The following is a 21636-nucleotide window of genomic DNA, read 5'->3' as shown; positions in this document are numbered from 1 at the left end:
ATTGGTTTTATTCATCTTTGCCTATGTGAGGCTTAATTCAACCCCACGAACATAATAGATATTCAGTAGATATTTAAAGAGTACGACTGGTGACATGTAACTTGACATTAGGTATCTGATCTCACATTATGGTGACTAACTTTGCTCTTTGTGTTTTGGTGTACTGATTATTCACGATTACTCCACAGTCTACTGCCTGTAACAATTGCAAGCTAACGATTCATCCCCCAGTTTCTAGTTTATTTCAGGACTAATATAAATATTATATTCACAAGCAACAAAAAAGTATATAAATTTGTGGCATCAGTGAAAAGACGTATGCTATTTTAATTGTAAAGTAATAAATTTAAAATACGCTATTGGTAATATCTTTGTTAAGTTTAAGACAATAGGAGGCTGAGTGGAAGAAGATACAGCTACACTGGGGAAGGCAGAATTAAGTAATAAAAGGATCATACATATCTTATTAAGTGCTGCATTCCCAGCACTTAGGAGAGTGCTTGGTACCTAGTTCAATTAAAACTTGCTGAATGAATGAATGTACTATACTACTATAGTACATTTTCTAGCCTATAATCACGTGGCTTCCTTCAGAAAAGATTCCATTTTGTAGGACAGAAATACTCATTTTGATTATGACCCATTCATTTGATTGAATCATTTACTTAGACATTTCTTGAGCATCTACTATATACCACACTTTGCCAGATTTTATGTCTGGAAACACAAAGATGAATAAGAAATGACCTAGAAGAGTTTAAATCTGTTGGAAGAAATGAATATGTAAACAAATATTTGCAATGCAGTGTGATAGTTACATAACATATAATATATATTTCATGGTATCATGACACAAAAGAGGTGGTCAGCTCAGTTTGTTGGAGAATGAGAGGAGGTCCAGGAAAGATTGCCCAAAAACGCATTTTCAAGGATGGATAAGGAGTTTTGAGGGGACTTGATAATCTACCCATTTAATGTTACTACTTAATTTCTCATAACAAAAATAATTTACCTTTGCTTTTTATGCTTAGCTTTTAAATTTTATTTCTTATTTATGAAACCATTTATATGCTTTACATATTTTTGGTCCTTTACCATTATACAAGTTTTATTACACTTGACATTCTTGAAAAACAACTCTAGCATAACTACTATTGAGAAGGTCATATATTAAATAAAGATTAATTTGTATTTTTAAAATATTTTTCTAGGTCTAGAAAAGGGGACAATGAGGAGTTCCATAGCTTTAAATTAGACTTCATATACATCAGAAATTGAAAAGCTCTCTGTTCAACAATAGACTTACTTTCTTTGTCTTTTTATTTTTTAAAAAACTCATTTGTAATTATACACATGCATTAAATAGTTAATTTTGCTCTTTGTTTATTAAAAAATAGTAGTCTCAGTGTTCAAATCCCACTCACCTGGAATCAATAATTGCATTGTCAAGGAAACTTCCCACTGCAGGGACCAATGTATCTTTCATCCCCTTTAATTTCTTGGAAGTGTAAACAGCAGAATTTATTATTCTTGTTACGTAGCAATATAGTCATTTGTGAACATTTCATTAAAACTATCTGCTGGCAATTCAGACTCAGTGTGACTAAACCTGCTCCTGGATTTGAGTTATAAATTTAGAAATGAAGTAGTCGATTTCTTTACTACATTATTCAATTTCTACTAGGAAATAGTGCTTGAAATCCAGGTTTCATTAAGAAAAGGTGGTTAAAATATATTGGCAGGTTTTTTGTTATTACAATTATTATTATTATTATGGTAAATGAGAATCAGTCTCAAACAAGTCCAAGCACGGCTGTAACATTTAATTTCTGGAACACAATATAATTCACTACAACTAGGCAACTGTCTGTTCATAAACAAAGTGAAACCCATTCCAAACACTCCAATAATATCCCAAACTTGGTGAATTTTCAGGTATTCAGTGAAAATTCAACATGACTGTTAGCCAAGTACCATGTGAACTTCCCCATATATAAGACTGTAATATTTCTGATGTATAAATGTAGTCATACATTCAACTCTCCAAATTCTTCAAAATGTCTTTCAATATAAAAACCTAGTCCCTTTTTCATTACAGTAGAGGTCATTCTACCTGTCTAGAGGTCTAGTTTCAATTCCCTCCACTTCGGGCCTCAAACTTCATGGTCCAGCAAGACTAAATCTACCTTTATATTCTATACGACACACCTTGCTCTGTCCTTTTATTATGCCTTCGAATATGTTATTTCTTCTACCCACATGATAGTCTCCTTTAGTAAAACTGTATTTGAAATCTCCCTTACCCAGGCAATTTAAAAGCACAATTTGTCTGTGTTACTGGGTATGCACATGCAACTCTAATATTCTGTATTATAATTGTTTGAAGATCTTTTCTCACCAAAAAAAGGCCTTGGAAGGGACAATATTCTTGTTTTCCTAGCATTTAGTACAGTATTTAGCTAATAAAACACAGCTATATATACACATGAATGACTATTTGTCCATTAATACAAATATTTACAGTACATATAAGAGGAATAATAATGTTAGTAGCTGTTGAGTACTTAGCATGTGTTTAGTTGATGTAATATGCTGTATGTGCTTCATCTCCAATTCTCACCACAGCCCTGTGAGGTGGATTCTATTATTTCTATTATTTTCATTTTGCCCTTGAGAAAACTGAAGCTCTGAGAAGTTAGCCACATAGCCCACACGTTGTCATATAGCAGAATCAGATATGAACTTCAGTCTGTCTGACTCCAATGTCAGTGCTTTCCCCGATGCACCTGGCTACCTTTTGATTATTGTCAAGATCCTGGAAGACACAAATTAGATTTTGATTTAATCTTTTCCATTTCTTTCCAGCTCCAAGTACAGCCCAGTATGGAATTACCGGGAGCGCTGATGTTCTTTTCTCCTGCTGGTACCTTGTGTTGACACTGTCCTCTTTCACCAGCATATTCTACCTGAAGAATGCCATTCTACAATAAATTCAAAGACCCATAAAAGGCTTTTAAGGATTCTCTGAAAGTGCTGATGGCTGGATCCAATCTGGTACAGTTTGTTAAAAGCAGCGTGGGATATAATCAGCAGTGCTTACATGGGGATGATCGCCTTCTGTAGAATTGCTCATTATGTAAATACTTTAATTCTACTCTTTTTTGATTAGCTACATTACCTTGTGAAGCAGTACACATTGTCCTTTTTTTAAGACGTGAAAGCTCTGAAATTACTTTTAGAGGATATTAATTGTGATTTCATGTTTGTAATCTACAACTTTTCAAAAGCATTCAGTCATGGTCTGCTAGGTTGCAGGCTGTAGTTTACAAAAACGAATATTGCAGTGAATATGTGATTCTTTAAGGCTGCAATACAAGCATTCAGTTCCCTGTTTCAATAAGAGTCAATCCACATTTACAAAGATGCATTTTTTTCTTTTTTGATAAAAAAGCAAATAATATTGCCTTCAGATTATTTCTTCAAAATATAACACATATCTAGATTTTTCTGCTCGCATGATATTCAGGTTTCAGGAATGAGCCTTGTAATATAACTGGCTGTGCAGCTCTGCTTCTCTTTCCTGTAAGTTCAGCATGGGTGTGCCTTCATACAATAATATTTTTCTCTTTGTCTCCAACTAATATAAAATGTTTTGCTAAATCTTACAATTTGAAAGTAAAAATAAACCAGAGTGATCAAGTTAAACCATACACTATCTCTAAGTAACGAAGGAGCTATTGGACTGTAAAAATCTCTTCCTGCACTGACAATGGGGTTTGAGAATTTTGCCCCACACTAACTCAGTTCTTGTGATGAGAGACAATTTAATAACAGTATAGTAAATATACCATATGATTTCTTTAGTTGTAGCTAAATGTTAGATCCACCGTGGGAAATCATTCCCTTTAAAATGACAGCACAGTCCACTCAAAGGATTGCCTAGCAATACAGCATCTTTTCCTTTCACTAGTCCAAGCCAAAAATTTTAAGATGATTTGTCAGAAAGGGCACAAAGTCCTATCACCTAATATTACAAGAGTTGGTAAGCGCTCATCATTAATTTTATTTTGTGGCAGCTAAGTTAGTATGACAGAGGCAGTGCTCCTGTGGACAGGAGCATTTTGCATATTTTCCATCTGAAAGTATCACTCAGTTGATAGTCTGGAATGCATGTTATATATTTTAAAACTTCCAAAATATATTATAACAAACATTCTATATCGGTATGTAGCAGACCAATCTCTAAAATAGCTAATTCTTCAATAAAATCTTTCTATATAGCCATTTCAGTGCAAACAAGTAAAATCAAAAAAGACCATCCTTTATTTTTCCTTACATGATATATGTAAGATGCGATCAAATAAAGACAAAACACCAGTGATGAGAATATCTTAAGATAAGTAATTATCAAATTATTGTGAATGTTAAATTATTTCTACTATAAAGAAGCAAAACTACATTTTTGAAGGAAAATGCTGTTACTCTAACATTAATTTACAGGAATAGTTTGATGGTTTCACTCTTTACTAAAGAAAGGCCATCACCTTGAAAGCCATTTTACAGGTTTGATGAAGTTACCAATTTCAGTACACCTAAATTTCTACAAATAGTCCCCTTTTACAAGTTGTAACAACAAAGACCCTATAATAAAATTAGATACAAGAAATTTTGCAGTGGTTATACATATTTGAGATATCTAGTATGTTGCCCTAGCAGGGATGGCTTAAAAACTGTGATTTTTTTTCTTCAAGTAAAACTTAGTCCCAAAGTACATCATAAATCAATTTTAATTAGAAAAATGAATCTTAAATGAGGGGACATAAGTATACTCTTTCCACAAAATGGCAATAATAAGGCATAAAGCTAGTAAATCTACTAACTGTAATAAATGTATGACATTATTTTGATTGATACATTAAAAAAGAGTTTTTAGAACAAATATGGCATTTAACTTTATTATTTATTTGCTTTTAAGAAATATTCTTTGTGGAATTGTTGAATAAACTATAAAATATTATTTTGTATTGCAGCTTTAAAGTGGCACACTCCATAATAATCTACTTACTAGAAATAGTGGTGCTACCACAAAAAATGTTAACCATCAGTACCATTGTTTGGGAGAAAGAAACAGATCAAGAATGCATATTATTCAGTGACCGCTTTCCTAGAGTTAAAATACCTCCTCTTTGTAAGGTTTGTAGGTAAATTGAGGTATAAACTATGGATGAACCAAATAATTAGTTCAAAGTGTTGTCATGATTCCAAATTTGTGGAGTCTGGTGTTTTTACCATAGAATGTGACAGAAGTACAGTCATAGCTCAGTAGCTATATGTATTTGCCTTTATGTTAGAAGAGACTTTCTTGAGTGACATTTTTAAATAGAGGAGGTATTCACTATGTTTTTCTGTATCACAGCAGCATTCCTAGTCCTTAGGCCCTCGGACAGAGTGAAATCATGAGTATTTATGAGTTCAATATTGTCAAATAAGGCTACAGTATTTGCTTTTTTGTGTGAATGTATTGCATATAATGTTCAAGTAGATGATTTTACATTTATGGACATATAAAATGTCTGATTACCCCATTTTATCAGTCCTGACTGTACAAGATTGTTGCAATTTCAGAATAGCAGTTTTATAAATTGATTTATCTTTTAATCTATAACAATTTGTGTTAGCTGTTCATTTCAGGATTATATTTTCTACAAGTTCCACTTGTGGGACTCCTTTTGTTGCCCCTATTTTTTTTTAAAGAAGGAAGAAAGAAAAATAAGTAGCAGTTTAAAAATGAGAATGGAGAGAAAAGAAAAAGAATGAAAAGGAAAGGCAGTAAAGAGGGAAAAAAAGGAAGGATGGAAGGAATGAAGGAAGGAAGGGAGGAAGGGGAGAAGGTAGGAAGAAAGAAAGGATGAGAGGGAAGGAAGAATCAGAGTATTAGGGTAGTTAACTTACACATTTGCATTCTTAGTTTAACTGCAAGTGGTGTAACTACGTTTTTCAATGATCGCATTTGAAACATAAGTCCTATTATACCATTAAGTTCCTATTATGCAGCAATTATATAATAAAAAGTACTGCCCAAGTTATAGTAATGTGGGTGTTTTTGAGACACTAAAAGATTTGAGAGGGAGAATTTCAAACTTAAAGCCACTTTTGGGGGGTTTATAACTTAACTGAAAAATTAATGCTTCATCATAACATTTAAGCTATATCTAGAAAGTAGACTGGAGAACTGAGAAAATTACCCAGGTAATTCAGGGAAAAAAAAAAATATATATATATATAAATACCCCTACATTTGAAGTCAGAAAACTCTGAAAAACTGAATTATCAAAGTCAATCATCTATAATGATCAAATTTACTGAACAATTGTTAATTTATCCATTGTGCTTAGCTTTGTGACACAGCCAAAAGTTACCTATTTAATCTTTTCAATAAAAATTGTTTTTTGAAATCCAGAAATGATTTAAAAAGAGGTCAGGTTTTTAACTATTTATTGAAGTATGTGGATGTACAGTATTTCAATAGATATGAATATGAATAAATGGTATGCCTTAAGATTCTTTGAATATGTATTTACTTTAAAGACTGGAAAAAGCTCTTCCTGTCTTTTAGTAAAACATCCATATTTCATAACCTGATGTAAAATATGTTGTACTGTTTCCAATAGGTGAATATAAACTCAGTTTATCAATTAAAATATGTATTTGACTCATTTTAAAACTCTATTAGCTTAAGAGAAAGAAGGAAGAAATAATAATTTGAAGATATTTCTGCTATTCTCTTTATTTCCTGTATTACACTCATCTTTCTGCTTACTCTAAAGCAGTACAGGGTAAAAATTCTAGATGCTACAGTTTCAAATGACTCCACACTATATTCTTTCTTGCTGTTGCTGATTCCTAAAAGGTTTGATGAGCTGAACTACATCTAAACTAAAAATAAATTTTCTGGAAACATTTTATTATTAATTATTTAGAACCTTTACCTGGTAAAATACAGCAGAGTTAGCAACAGAGACTAAATATCCTGTTGATAAAATCCTGATGATCTTACAGGCTAAACAACTGAAAACTCAAACGCTTGTAAGAGCCAGGCAGAGTGTAATTTCTTAACAGCTGGGTATAAAACAACGGGCACCTGAAGGTATTCAGATACAATTTCCTTAAAAATACCTTGGTTTCCAAGCAAAACACGTTATTTGGCTGAGAACCTTTAGTTTGTAAATACCAAACCATAATATACAAATGAGATCTCAAGCCAAATGAATTTTTTAAGCCCTCTTTCCCATATCTGTTCATCTATGATAGTCAACTGAATAAATGAGAACAATGTGATAGATAAAACAACAAAGCATAAAAAAGATTCATGCTTGGTTTTATAAGCTATTTTGAAATATAAGTATCATTGCTATTCTGAGAAATCTATATACACCAAAGCCCTCCCTCCACAAAAAAACTGGAAATGTTCTAATAAATGTCTGATTTCCCCCACAGCTTCATTATTTCTTCCCTTTTCAACATCTATCTTATCTATCTTGCATAAATTACATCACAGAAACAGAAACATCAAGTATCAGACATGGAAAACCAGCACATGAAACAGAGCTAGTTTCCCTCTCAAAAGAATAGGGCAAAACATAGATGCTTCAAAATCATATCTTGGTATACAGAAAATAATTATTCACTTTAACCTGACAGTCAGAAATGTAAGTAAGAATTTGTAGAGATAATTTTCCAAGGTAATTCATTCAAGTTAGTGGAATTTGATCCAAACACCCGTCAATGTACTCCCTCTGAACTTTCCAAGAATCATACACCTTCACATTTACATTCACTGTTTTTCTAGTAATTCCAAACTTACTCAAAAGTATTTCAGAATTGATATCACTGGTGGAAAGAGAGCAATTTAGCAAACAAATACATGCTTTCCGGTATTCCTAGAGAAAAGGAAAAGAGGAATACGTTTCATTCTTCTCCCTAGAAGCTCTACCCACAGTCATCCTAAAGCTAGACCAATCTCTCCCAGGGCTTTCCTTCAGTCTAAGAAACATGCTTCATTTCAGAGACAATTGTGGCAACTATAGTTTTCCCCAAAGGGTCACAACTACCTCTCCTTTGCATTTTACAATGGAGCACTTTTGCAAGTGTTGCTATTGTGGCTTTCTCAACACTTTCAAATACTTAAAGGAGAAAATATTACTATTGTCATGTATTGATGGTGAAAACGAGATTCAGAAATTTTGAGTCACTTGCTGAAGATTATACTTCAACTAAGTGGCAGATCTGAGCCAAATATGCAATGAAAAATGTTCCCAATTTGTTTCCAGTCCCAGACTACCTAGGAAAAAGAAAAGCATATAATCACATTGCTAGCTTCATAGACAACTATTTGCATATTTTTATTTATATATTTATATAAATATAAGCACATTTTAAATATAAATATAGATATTTATGACATCCTTGTATTTTCCAATACCTGCAGAGGGTATGAGATTTAAAGGCTAATCAGATTGTACATGTCATCTAAAACTTTGGAAACGTGAAACTCACAGTACAGTTGCCTTTGGACACACAGCCTTGGGTTGTATGAGACTGGTCACACCAAGTGGAGAATCTTGTCATAATCGCATGTATCTTCTTTTTGTATAGCATTTTGCAAAAAATGTGTCAAGTTTGGGATAATCCACTAAGACTATTCCTCAGACATCTGCAATCAACAGAATTTTGGGGGAAATGGAGATCAGAATACATACACACTTTTAAAAAAATTCACAATACTGATTTTAATCTGAGTGATGTTGTTTGAGGCCATTTATATTGAAATACTAACATGAACATCTGTTTGTGCTGGGACAGTAGAACAAGAGAAAGATTCTAATTCTAGAAATTAAATGATATGCAACCTAAGAAATACATTTGTACTTTGTTTTCAAAATATGAATATAATACAAATCCTATGGATATCACCACTTAGTTTGAAAAACATAAAAAGTGTGATTTTCATACACTTATGAAATGAATAAATTAATTCATTAATGAAGGACCTGATAAGACATTACAACCAGATAAAAGGATAATTTAAAGAACATACACATTTATAGATCAAAAACCTTGAAATTAATGTACTAATAGAGGCAAAACTGGCTTCCAGAGTGAGGAGGAGAATTCAATTGAATCTTTACCCCTCAGAATTTATTTCCATATCTGTAGACGAGAAATATTTTGCCTTAGTATTATTTATTTACAACTTGAAAAAGAGTTCAAATATAATGAAAAATACAGAGGCTCCAAAAGAATCAGAATCAGGTAACCTGTAAAAGTGTGTTCCAAGTAATTAGTGGTTTTTCATTTCAGCAAAAATTCTTCTCTGCAATGAAGAGACATAATTTTTTTTTCTTTTTCAGAGTTTTGCTCGGTTGCCCTGGATGGAGTGCAGTGGTGTGATCTTGGCTCACTGCAACCTCCGCCTCCTGGGTTCAAGCGATTCTCCTGCATCAGCCTCCCCAGTAGCTGGGATTATAGGCACGTGCCACCACACCTGGCTAAGTTTTGTATTTTTAGTAGAGGTGGGGTTTCACCATGTTGGCCAGTCTGGTCTAGAACTCCTGACCTCAAGTGATCCACTTCCCTCGGCCTCCTAAAGTGCTGGGATTACAGGCGTGAGCCACCGCTCCCAGACGAGATGTAAAATTTTTAAAGCCATTGAATTAAATTCATTGCTAACATTTTGAGCTTTGATAATGTAATGCCTACTTTAATGACCCAAAAAAAAAAAAACCCAAGTAACCTATCTATCTAATAATCTATGTTTTTTAATTACTCCTTTTCTTCCTTATCTCACAAACCATAATCCAATAGTCTAGGACATGTGAAAGAGAAAGTAAACAGTCACAAGAACTACCTTGCTTCGAGAATCCACCTTGTTGAAAAAATAATATATTTTGGGCACTTGTTAAAAAGAATTAACAGAAAAAGTCTTTTTTTTTTTGTCACAGGGGCATTTAATTCATGGTATAACAGGAATTTTATATCAAAAACAGTAAGAAAAATGAAGTAACAGTTGAGATAGCAATAATTCATCAACCAAATACTATGATAATGATAAAAACATTGCAAGAAGCTATAGCCAGAACTGAGTGTTCTGCTCCTACTTAGTGCTAATGAGCCCAGTCCTAGCACACATCTTGGTTTGGTAGAAACTACAGGAGGTAGCATGGTTCATTACACCTTCAAAACTTTAAAATGTTAAAGAGGGTGGTTTCCCTCCTTCATTTCAAATGGATTGCTAAAAGCACTGGGCTATTCCTTGGTGGAAATTTGAATTTGCCAGTTTCTTCATCAATTTTGACTTTTTACATTCAAAAAGGAGTTAACTTTACACTAAGTCACAGCAGACTTAGACCTCCCGCAGTTCTGAATTGTGCTTAAACAAGTATTCAAGCACATGGGGATTTCTCAAGAAAATTTGGGGACCATATCTTAGAAAAAAAACTTACAAAATATTCGTTGAAGACTATAATATGCTAAAGCTAAGGAACAAAATTCTCTTGATTGTTCTAAAAATACCTAGTAAGAGCCACAGAACTCTTCCATAGTTTTCTAAGTAGTTTCATAAGTGTGGATTGTGGTTGCCCTGAAACTTGACATCTCCCTACCAAGTACTTGACAAGTGACCTGGCAAAAATGTGTTCAATAGCTCATTTTTGACATACTCCTTAAGAAATCATTGCCAGAGATTTGAAACTGCTTCAAGCTGATGTCTTTTTCAAAACAAAACACATACTCACACACAAATACAAAATCGCATTGCTATCAGTGATCTGGAAAATAAGCTTGCAAGCTGGCCATGTGGTGTTCTGAATAATTTTTTTAAAGTAGAAGAAGAAATGACAACAGTGCAACCAACAGTTTCTGTTTAAGTTTTATTTGCTAAGACGTTAGCATAAGGAACATCTTGTGATTTAATTAATCAGAAGATGGCACCTGCTGTAAATACTGACATGGAGAAAAGCAGATTTTTAAAAAAATTTGGAATAAATTAATTTCTTGTAATACATTTTTCTTGTTGATAAACAACTAAATTATGCTTTGAAATGTGTTACTGTCTAATAACTTTAAATGTTGACAAGGAGAAAGACTGGGTTTTTTTTTTTACATTTGAATAAGCAATTTTTTTCTGGAAACATATATATTTCTAATTTATAGATAAACTAGTATGTGTGTTCAGAATTCCTGCTCTCTCATTATTCAGGTTTCAAAATGTATTAACAAAGCTTTTATGGTTTTATAATAGACAATTAGATATCTTTCATCAGGTAATGTAAGAACTTGTATAGTGGTATATTAGTCAGTTTTCACACTGCTGATAAAGATATACCCGAGACAGGGCAATATGCAAAAGAAAGAGGTTTTTTTGGACCTACAGTTCCATGTGGCTGGGGAAGCCTCACAATCACAGTGGAAGGTGAAAGGCACGTCTCATATGGCAGCAGACAAGAGAAAAGAGCTTGTGCAGATAAACTCCCCCTTATAAAACCATCAGATCTCATGAGACCCATTCACTATCACAAGAACAGCATGGGAAAGACCTGCTCCCATGATTCAATTACCTCCCACCAAGTCCCTCCCACAATCCGTGGGAATTCCAAATGAGACTTGGGTGGGGACACAGCCAAACCATATCATTCCACCCCTGGTCCCTCCCAAATCTCATGTCCTCACATTTCAAAACCAATCATGCTTTCCCAACAGTCCCTCAAAGTCTTAACTCATTTCAGCACTATCTCAAAAGTCCACAGTCTAAAGTCTCATCTGAGACAAGGCAAGTCTCTTCTGCCTATGAGCAGCCAGTAAAATCAAAAGCAAGTTAGTTACTTCCTAGATGCAATGGAAGTACAGGCATTGGGTAAGCATAGCCATTCCAAGTGGAAGAAATTGGCCAGAACAAAGGGACTACAGGGGCGGTCAAGTCTTAAAGCTCCAAAATGATCTCCTTTGACTCCATTTCTCACATCCAGGTCATGCTGATGCAAGAGGTGGGCTCCCATGGCCTTAGGCAGCTCCGCCTCTGCAGCTTTGCAGGGTATAGCCCTCCTCCTGGCTGCTTTCACCAGCTGGCATTGAGTGTCTGTGCCTTTTCCAGGTGCATGGTGCAAGCTGTTAGTGGATTTATGATTCTGGGATCTGGAGGACAGTGGCCCACTTCTCACAGCTCCACTACGTGGTGTCCCAGTAGGGACTCTGTGTGGGGCTCACTCCACATTTTCCTTCTGCACTGCCCTAGCAGAGGTTCTCCATGAGGAGAACTTCATTCTGGGCATCCAGGCATTTCTATACATCCTCTGAAATTTAGGTGGTGGTTTCCAAGCCTCAATTTTTGACTTCCATGCACCCACAGGCTCAACACCATGTGGAAGCTGCCAAGGCTTGGGGCTTCCACTGTCTGAAGCAACAGCCCAAGCTGTACCTTGGCTTCATTTAAATCATCCTGGGAGCAACTGGGAGGCAGAGCACCAAGTTCCTAGACTGCACATAGCAGAGGGACCCTGGGCCAGGCCCACAAAACCATTTTTTTCCTCCAAAACCTAGGGGCCTGTGATGGCAGGGGCTGCTGCAAAGGTCTCTGACGTGCCCTGGAGACATATTCCCCACTGTCTTGGTGACATTCAGCTCCTCATTACTTATGCAATTTTCTGCAGCCAGCTTGAATTTCTCCTCAGGAAATGGGATTTTCTTTTCTATCACATTTTCAGTCTGTAAATTTTTCAAACTTTTATACTGTTTCCCTTTTAAAACTGAATGCCAGCCAGGTGCACTGGCTCATGCTTGTAATCTCAGCACTTTGGGAGTCTGAGACAGGCAGATCACCTGAGGTCACGAATTTGAGACCAACCTGGCCAACATGATAAAACCCCAACTCTACTAAAAATATAAAAATTAGTGAGGCATGGTGGCACATGCCTGTAATCTCAACTGCTTGGGAGGCTGAAGCAGAAGAATTGCTTGAACCCAGGAGGCAGAGGTTGCAGTGAGCTGAGATCATGCCACTGCACTCCTGCCTGGGTGACAAAGTGAGACTCTGTCTCAAAAACAAAACAAAACAGAACAGAACACTGAATGCCTTTAACAACACCCAAGTCACCTGTTGAATGCTTTGCTGCTTAGAAATTTCTTCCTCCAAATATCCTAAATCACCTCTCTCAACTTCAAAGTTCTACACATCTCTAGGGCAAGGGCAAAATGCTACCCATCTCTTTGCTAAAACATAACAAGAGTCACCTTTGCTCCAGTTCCCAACAAGTTATTCATTTCCATCTGAGACCACCTCAGCCTGGATTTTATTGTCCATATCATTATCAGCATTTTGGTCAAAACCATTCAACAAGTCTCTAGGAAGTTCCAAACTTTCCCACATTTTCCTGTCTTCTTCTGAGCCCTCCAAACTATTCCAACCCCTGCCTGTTACCCAGTTCCAAAGTCACTTCCACATTTTCAGGTATCTTTTCAGCAGCACTCCACTCCTGATACTAATTTACTATATTAGTCAGTTTTCACACTGCTGATAAAGACATACCTGAGGCTGGGCAATTTACAAAAGAAAGAGGTTTATCAGACTTACAGTTCCACGTGGCTGGGGAGGCCTCACAATCATGGTGGAAGGTGAAAGGCACATCTCACATGGCAGCAGAGAAGAGAAGAGAACTTGTGAAGGAAAACTCCCGCTTATAAAACCATCAGATCTCATGAGACTTACTCACTGTCATGAGAACAGCATGGGAAAGACCTGCCCCCATGGTTCAATTACCTCCCACCAAGTCCCTCTCACAATATGTGGGAATTCAAAATGAGATTTGTGTGGGGACATGGCCAAACAATATCAAATGGTTTTGATTTTTATGTTGAGGCACATTCTCAAGCTAGTATCATTTCAAGAAGAACCTGTTATTTGTTGATTTTGGAAATTTTAAAAATCAGATTTAATTTACACTGAAAAGTGGTTGACCTTAACGTTTCTCAGATAACCTGAAATGTTCATGTGGCATTCATTCATTCATTAATCCATCCACTTATTTGACAATAAAATATGATTTAGGTGACCTCTGAAGAGCTGTCTAAAAAGAATTACCTGGTAGAGTTAATCTGGATGTTTAGGACACTATGATCAAACTGAAGAAAAAGGCACCCATTTCTCTAATCCTTTCTTTGGGAAGCTGATTTCACTTTAAACTGAAAGTGAGAAAGGAAAAGGAAGAAGAAAAGAAACAGAGGGTAAAAGAAGAGAAAGAGGAAGGGAAAGAAAGAGATTAATGTATATTTTCTCCTAAGAAAGGCTCTTTTGTGTGTGTCGGTGTGTGTGTGCATGTGTGTTTCCTGTTGCCTGGATCTATCATAAAAAGCAATGTCTTCTCTGGAATGGGGCTTCAGTTTCCACATTTACAATTAGTACATATTACAATTAGTGATATGAATAAAGGCTGTTATCCTACATTTTCCAAGTTGTCATTCCTCTTCTTTCTTTAAAACTTTCATTATTGTTCATATAAAATTAAATTTCTACAATAGTATATCATACTCTTTTCTCAAGAAAATATGACAATATTCCATTGCATCACAGAATGCAATGAAAAATATAAAACTTCCATTTCTCTGTGACTTTGATATTAAAAATGAATTCTAGTCAATTGCTGAAATTGTTTAATAATAAAATAAAATCTGAATTTGAATAGGTTACCATTCCCTAAATATGCACAGTAAAAATAAAGATTGAGATCTTCTGTAATTGTTAGTTACGGGCTTTGGGTGACATTAAAAAAAAGAATAAAATCCAAAAAGTCTTGAAAATTTAACACTTTTTAGCCACCAGAAAAATTTTTAAATGTTTTCAAAAATAGATAAAAATAAAACTTCATTTTAAGCATTCTTGATTTTTCATAAATCTGTAATATCTGTGTATTCTCACATAACATACTCTATCAGTTCTGGACTCAAACAACAGAAAGACTGGCCAAGTTGAAAAAAATAATTTATTGGAAGGTTCTTGAATGGCTCTCAAGAAAGAGAAACTTTTGAATGATGGAAAACTTCAATGGTAGGATGGTACCAAGGTAGGAAATGCAGCCAGTAGGCAAATGTACAGCTAAAGTCGTGCCACAGAAACAGGTAAGCATGCCACGTTGATGGGATTCACACTACTTCATGATATGGCACCTTGGCATAATAATTTTAAGCTGAATACATTTGCAAAATGGTAGGTGCTGGAAAGACTCTGTCCTCCCACTTTTCCCCAGGTCACGAGACCCTCTTATGAGAAGTGCCTTCTCTATGACCAGAGGAAAGGCACATCCTTATCTCTAAAGACAGAGAAAAGCCTAAAGGAATCTGAACAAATAGGCCTCACTAAGTTTCCCCCAGTTTACTACTGTATTAGGCTATTCTTGCATTGTTATAAAGAAATACATGAACATGGGTAATTTATAAAGGAAAGATATTTTATTAGCTGACGGTTCTGCAGGCATTACAGGAAGCAAGTTGTGGCATCAGCTCAGCTTCTAGGGAGGCCTCAGGAAGCTTACAATCATGGCAGAAGGCAAAATGAGAGCAGGCACATCACATGACAAAAGCAGACACATCACATGGTGAAAGCAGGAGCAGGCAAGATAGGAAGAGTAGGAGGGAAGTGCCACACACTTTTAAATGACCAGATCTCATGTGAACTCAGAGCAAGAGCTCACTTATCATCAGAAAATGTCTGAAGCCATTCATGAGGGACCCCTCCCCGTGATCAAAACAACTCCCCACCAAGTTCCACCTCCAACACTAGGGGTTACATCTCAACATGATATTTGGAGGGGATATTCAAACTACATCACTCTACCCCTGGTCTCTCAAATTTAATGTCCTTCCCATATTTTAAAATAAAATAATCCATTCTCAGCAGTCCCTCAAAGCTTTAACTCATTTCAGCGTTAACTCAAAAGTCCAAATTCCAAAGTCTCATCTGAAACAAGGTAAGTCCCTTCCATCTATAAGCTTGCAAATTCAAAAATAAGTTAGTTGTTTTCAAGATAAAATTGGCAAATAAGCACTGGGTAAACATTTTCATTCCACAAAAGAAAAATTAGCCAAAAGAAAAGGTCTACAGACCCCATGAAAGTTCAAAACCCAGCAGGGCGGTCATTAAATCTTAAAGCTCCAAAATAATCCCCTGTGACTCCATGTCCCATATTCAGGGCACACTGGTACAAGGGGCGGTTCCCAAGGCCTTGTCAGTTCCAACCCCTGTGGCTTTGCAGGGTTCAGCCCCAGAGGTTGCTCTCCCAGGTTGTTGAGGGCCTGTGGCTTTTACAGGTGTAGGGTACAAGCTGCTGGTGGGACTACCATTCTCTTGGGTCTGGAGGGCAGTGGCCTTTTTCTCACAGCTTCACTAGGTAGTGCCACAGTGGGGAGGGTAATAGCCCCCTTCTCACAGCTCCACAGTGAGGAATCTGAGTGAGGCCTCTCTTATCCCTAAGCCCTGCCCTAATGGGAGTTCTCTGTGGTGGCTCCACCCCTGCAGCAGGCTTCTACCTGGGCACCCAGGCTCTTCCATAAATCCTGTGAAATTTTGGCAGAGGGTGCCAAGTCTTATTCACTCTTGTATCTTGTGTGTGCCCACAGGCTTAACACAACATGGGGGCTGCCAAGGTTTATGGTTTGCACCTTCTGAAGCTGTGGCCCAAGCTATACCTGGGATCCTCTGAGCTGAGGCTGGAGCTAGAGTGGACTGGATGTGGGGAGCAGTGTCCCAAGGATGTACAGGACAGCAGGATCCTGGGCCAGGTCCACAAAACTATTCTTCCCTCTTAAGCCTCCAGGGCTATGATGGGAGGGGCTGCCATGAAGGTCTCTAAAATGCCTTCAAGGTCTTTTTCTCATTGTCTTGGATAGTAGAACTTGGCTCTCTTTTAGTTATGCAAATATCTCTGGTAAGCAGTTGCTCCATAGCCTGCTTTTATTCTTCTCCCAAAAAGGCTTTTCTTTCTCTGCCACACTATCAGGCTGCAAATTTTACAAACTTTTATATTCTGCTCCCTTTTAAATATAAGTTCCAACTTTAAGGTTTTTTTGCTCCAACATCTGAGCATAGGTTGTTAGAAGCAGCCAGACCACTTCTTGAACACTTTGCTGCTTAGAAATTCTACCAGATACCCTAAATAATCACTCTTAAGTTCCAACTTCCCATGAGCCCTAGGGCAGGGACACAATGCAGCCAAGTTCTTTGCTAAGGTATAACACATGTGACCTTTGCTCCAGTTTCCAATAATTTCCACATTTATATTTGAGACCCAGGCCTTCACTGTCATATCACTCTCAACATTTTGGTCACAACCACTTAACCAGTCTAAAAATTTCCAAACTTTGCCTGTTTTCCTGTCTTCTTCTGAGCCCTCTGAACTCTTCCAACCTCTGCCCATTATGAGTACCAAAGCTACCTCCACATTTTCAGGTATCTTTACAGCAATGCACCCCTCTCCTTGGTACCAATTATCTGTATTTGGTCAGTCTTGCATCGTTGTAAAGAAATACCTGAAACTGGGTAATTTATAGAAAAAGGGGTTTTCATTGGCTCACAGTTCTGCAGGCTTTACAGGAAGCCTGTGTTGGCATCAGCTCAGCTTTTAGAAAGGGCTCAGGAAACCTGCAATCATGGCAGAAGGCAAAGTGGGGGCAGGCACATTACATGAGAAAAGCAAGCATGTCACATGGTGAAAGCAGGAGCAAGTGAGAGAAAGAGTAGGAGGGAGGTGCCACATACTTTTAAGCAACCATATCTCATGTAAACTCAGAACAAGAGCTCACTTTTCACCAAGGAGATGGCCCACGCCAGATGGCCCACGCCATTCATGAGGAACCCATTGCCATGATCAAAACACCTCCCAACAGGCCTCACCTCCAACACTGGGATAACATCTCAACATGAGATTTGGAGAGGACATCCAAATTATATTGACTATGCTTAGTATGTACCTTTTTGTCCTATCACATTTTTCAAAAATATTCATTCTTCATCAAACATAATATGAAAACACTCAGATTTAACTGTTTCGTGGGTCTTTATTTCCTTATGAAGACTCCCATGATATATAAAATGTATATAGATTTTTATTTTATTATAATTAATTTCTCTCATTAATTTGTCTTTCATCGGTCCAATTTACAGGGCTTCAGCCAAGTAACCTGGAAGGATAATGAGAAAAATAAATTTTTCTTCTAATGCAGCCTCCATGACATGAAACCCCACATTTCCCTTTTGCACTGCCCTAGCAGAGGTTCTCCATGAGTGCCCCATCCCAGAGCAAACTTCTGCCTGGGTACCCAGGCGTTTCCATACATCTTCTGAAACCTAGGCGGGGGTTCCCAAACCCCAGTTCTTTATTTCTGTGCACAGGTAGGCTCAACACCATGTGGAAGCTGCCAAGGCTTTGGGCTTGCACCCTCTGAAGCCACGGCCTGAGCTCAATGTTGGTCCCTTTCAGCCATGGCCAGAGCAGCTGGGACACAGGGCGCCAAGTCCCTAGACTGCACACAGCATAGGGAATCTGGGCCTGGTCTCCCAAACCACTTCTTCCTCCTAAGCCTCTGGGCCTGTGATAGGAGGGGCTGCTGTGAAGACCTCCGACATGCCCTGGAGACATTTTCCCCCTTGTCTTGAGGATTAACATTCAGCTCCTCATTAATTACGCAATTTCTGCAGCCGGCTTGAATTTCTCCTCAGAAAATGGCATTTTCTTTACTATCTCATTGTCAAGCTGCAAATTGTCCAAACTTATGTTCTGCTTCCCTTATAAAGCTGAATGTCTTTAACAGCACCCAAGTCACATCTTGAATGCTTTGCTGCTTAGAAATTTTTTCTGCCAGGTACCCTAAATCATCTTTCTCAAGTTTAAGGTTCTACAAATCTCTAGGGCAAGGGCAAAATGCCACCCATCTCTTTGCTAAAACATAGCAAGAGTCACCTTTACTCCAGTTCCCAACAAGTTCCTCATCTCCATCTGAGACCATCTCAGCTTAGACTTTATTGCCTGTATCACTATCAGCATTTTGAGCAAAGCCATTCAACAAATCTTTAGGAGGTTCCTAACTTTCCTGTCTTCTTCTGAACCCTCCAAACTGTTCCAAACTTTGCCTGTTACCCATTTGCAAAATCACATCCACATTTTTGGGTATATTTTCAGCAGTACCCCACCCCTGGTACCAATTTACCATATTAGTCCCTTTTTTTTTTTTTTTTTTTTTTTTTGCTGCTGCTGAAGGCATACTCAAGACTGGCAATTTACAAACGAAAGAGGTTTAACTGAACTTACAGTTCCATATGGCTGGGGGAGGCCTCAAAATCATGGCAGAAAACAAGGAGGAGCAAGTCACATCTTAGCAAACAGCAGCAGGCAAAAATAAAAGAGAGCTTATGTAGGGAGACTCCCATTTTTAAAACCATCAGATCTCATGAGACCCATTCACTAACATGAGAACAACAGGGGAAAAACTCACCCTCATGATTCATTCATCTCCCACCAGGTCCCTCCCACAACAAGTGGGAATTATGGGGGCTACAAAATGAGATTTGGGTGGGGACGCAGAGCCAACACATATCAAACTGGGAGTGGCATTGCTGGGTCATAAGGAAGCTTCATTTTTAGTATTTGAGGAACTCAAACATTCTCCATAGTGGTTGCACTAATTTACATTTCCACCAACAATGTACAATAGTTCCCTTTTCTGCACATCCTCACCAGCATTTTTCATTGCCTGACTTTTGGATGAAAGCCATTTTAAATGAAGTGCGACAATATCTCATTGTATTTTTTATCAGCATTTGTCTGATGACTAATGATGTTGAACACCTTTTCATACACCTGTTTGCCATTTGTATGTCTTCTTTTAAGAAATACTTATTGAGATCTTTGGCCAATTTAAAAATCAGATAAATCTATTTTTCACTATGGAGTTTTTTGTGATCCTTATATGTTTCATTATTAGGTGGTTAGTTTGCAAATATTTTCTCCCATTCTGTGGGTTGTCTACTCACTTTGTTGATTTTTTCGTTTGCTGTGCAGAAGCTTTTTAATTTGATGGGATCACATTTGTCTTTGTTTTGACTGACCATGCTTGTGGAGTATTATTCAAGAAATCTTTGCCCAGTCCAATGTTCTGGAGCGTTCCCCCAAAGTTTTTGTGTAGTAGTTTCATAGTTTGAGGTCTTAGATTTAAGTCTTTAATCCATTTTCATTTTATTTTTGTATAAGGCAAGTTATGGGGCATAGTTCTATTCTTTTGCTTATGGATATCCAGTTTTTCTAGCACCATATATTGAATACTATTCTTTCTCCAATCTATGTTCTTGGCACCTCTCTCAAAAATGTGTTCACCATAGACACATGGATTTATCTATGGGTTCTCTATTCTGTTCCATTGGCCTATGTGTATGTTTTTGTGGCAGTATTATGCTGTTTGGTTTACTATAGCTCTGTAATATAATTTAATGTCAGGAAATGTGAATCATCCAGTTTTGTTCCTTTTGCTTAGGATTTCTTTGGTTATTCTGGGTCTTTGGTGGTTACATATAAATTTTACAATTTTTTTTCTATTTCTGTAGAGAATTTCATTGGTATTTTGATAGAGATTACATTGAATCTGCAGATTGTTTTGGATAGTATGGACATTTTAATAATATTAATTATCCAATACATGAACATGGAATATCTTTTCATTTTTTGGTGTCCTCTTCAATTTCTAATATTAATGTTTTACAGGTTTTATTGTAGAGACCTTTTACTTCTTTGGTTAAATTAATTTAAGGTATTTTTATTTATTTGTAGCTACTGTAAATGGATTGCTTTATTGATTTCTTGTCCAGATCATTTGCTGTTGGCATATAGAAATGCTACTGATCTTTTTATGTTGATTTTCTGTCCTGCAACTTTATTGAATATATTTATCAATTCTAAGTTTTTTTGGTGGAGTCTTTAGGTTCTTCCAAATATAAGATCATATCATCAGCAAACAATAATTTGACTTCTTTTTTCCAATTTGAATGCCTTTATTACTTTCTTATGCCTGATTGCTCTAGCAAGGGCTTCTAGTAGTATGTTGAATAACACAATTGAAAGTAGTCGTCCTTGTAATATTCCTGAACTTAGGGGAAAGGCTTTCCGTTTTTTTTTTTTTTTTTTTTGAGACGGAGTCTTGCTCTGTGGCCCAGGCGGGAGTGCAGTGGCGCAATCTCGGCTCACTGCAAGCTCCGCCTCCAGGGTTCACGCCATTCTCCTGCCTCAGCCTCCCGAGTAGCTGGGACTACAGGCGCCCACCATCATGCCCGGCTAATTTTTTTTGTATTTTTAGTAGAGACGGGGTTTCACCGTGTTAGCCAGGATGGTCTCGATCTCCTGACCTCGTGATCCGCCCACCTCGGCCTCCCAAAGTGCTGGGATTACAAGCGTGAGCCACCGCGCCCAGCCTCCATTTTTCCTCATTCAGTATGATACTAGCTATATGTCTGTTGTATATGGATGTTATTATGTTGACATATGTTCCTTACGCACCCAGTTTTTTTATGTTTTTATTATGAAGGGATGTTAAATTTTATCATATTTT

At 36.9% G+C, this 21636-nt stretch overlaps 1 protein-coding gene across 1 annotated transcript in view; it reads left to right on the top strand.

Moving 5' to 3' along the window:
• Positions 1 to 14493, top strand: part of NEGR1 (neuronal growth regulator 1) — an 886597-nt gene extending 872104 nt beyond the window's left edge. Inside the window, exon 7 of the mRNA NM_173808.3 lies at positions 2866 to 14493. Within this exon, the coding sequence (NP_776169.2) occupies positions 2866 to 2990 (125 nt within the window). The 3' untranslated portion in view covers positions 2991 to 14493. The remainder of the gene's footprint in view (positions 1 to 2865) is intronic.
• The last annotated feature ends 7143 nt before the right edge of the window (positions 14494 to 21636 follow it).

The sequence above is a fragment of the Homo sapiens genome, chromosome 1, assembly GCF_000001405.40.
Source record: "Homo sapiens chromosome 1, GRCh38.p14 Primary Assembly".
Taxonomy (NCBI): domain Eukaryota; kingdom Metazoa; phylum Chordata; class Mammalia; order Primates; family Hominidae; genus Homo; species Homo sapiens.
The sequence above is the reverse complement of the archived record's forward strand: the minus strand, read 5'-3'. Positions and strand labels throughout refer to the sequence as shown.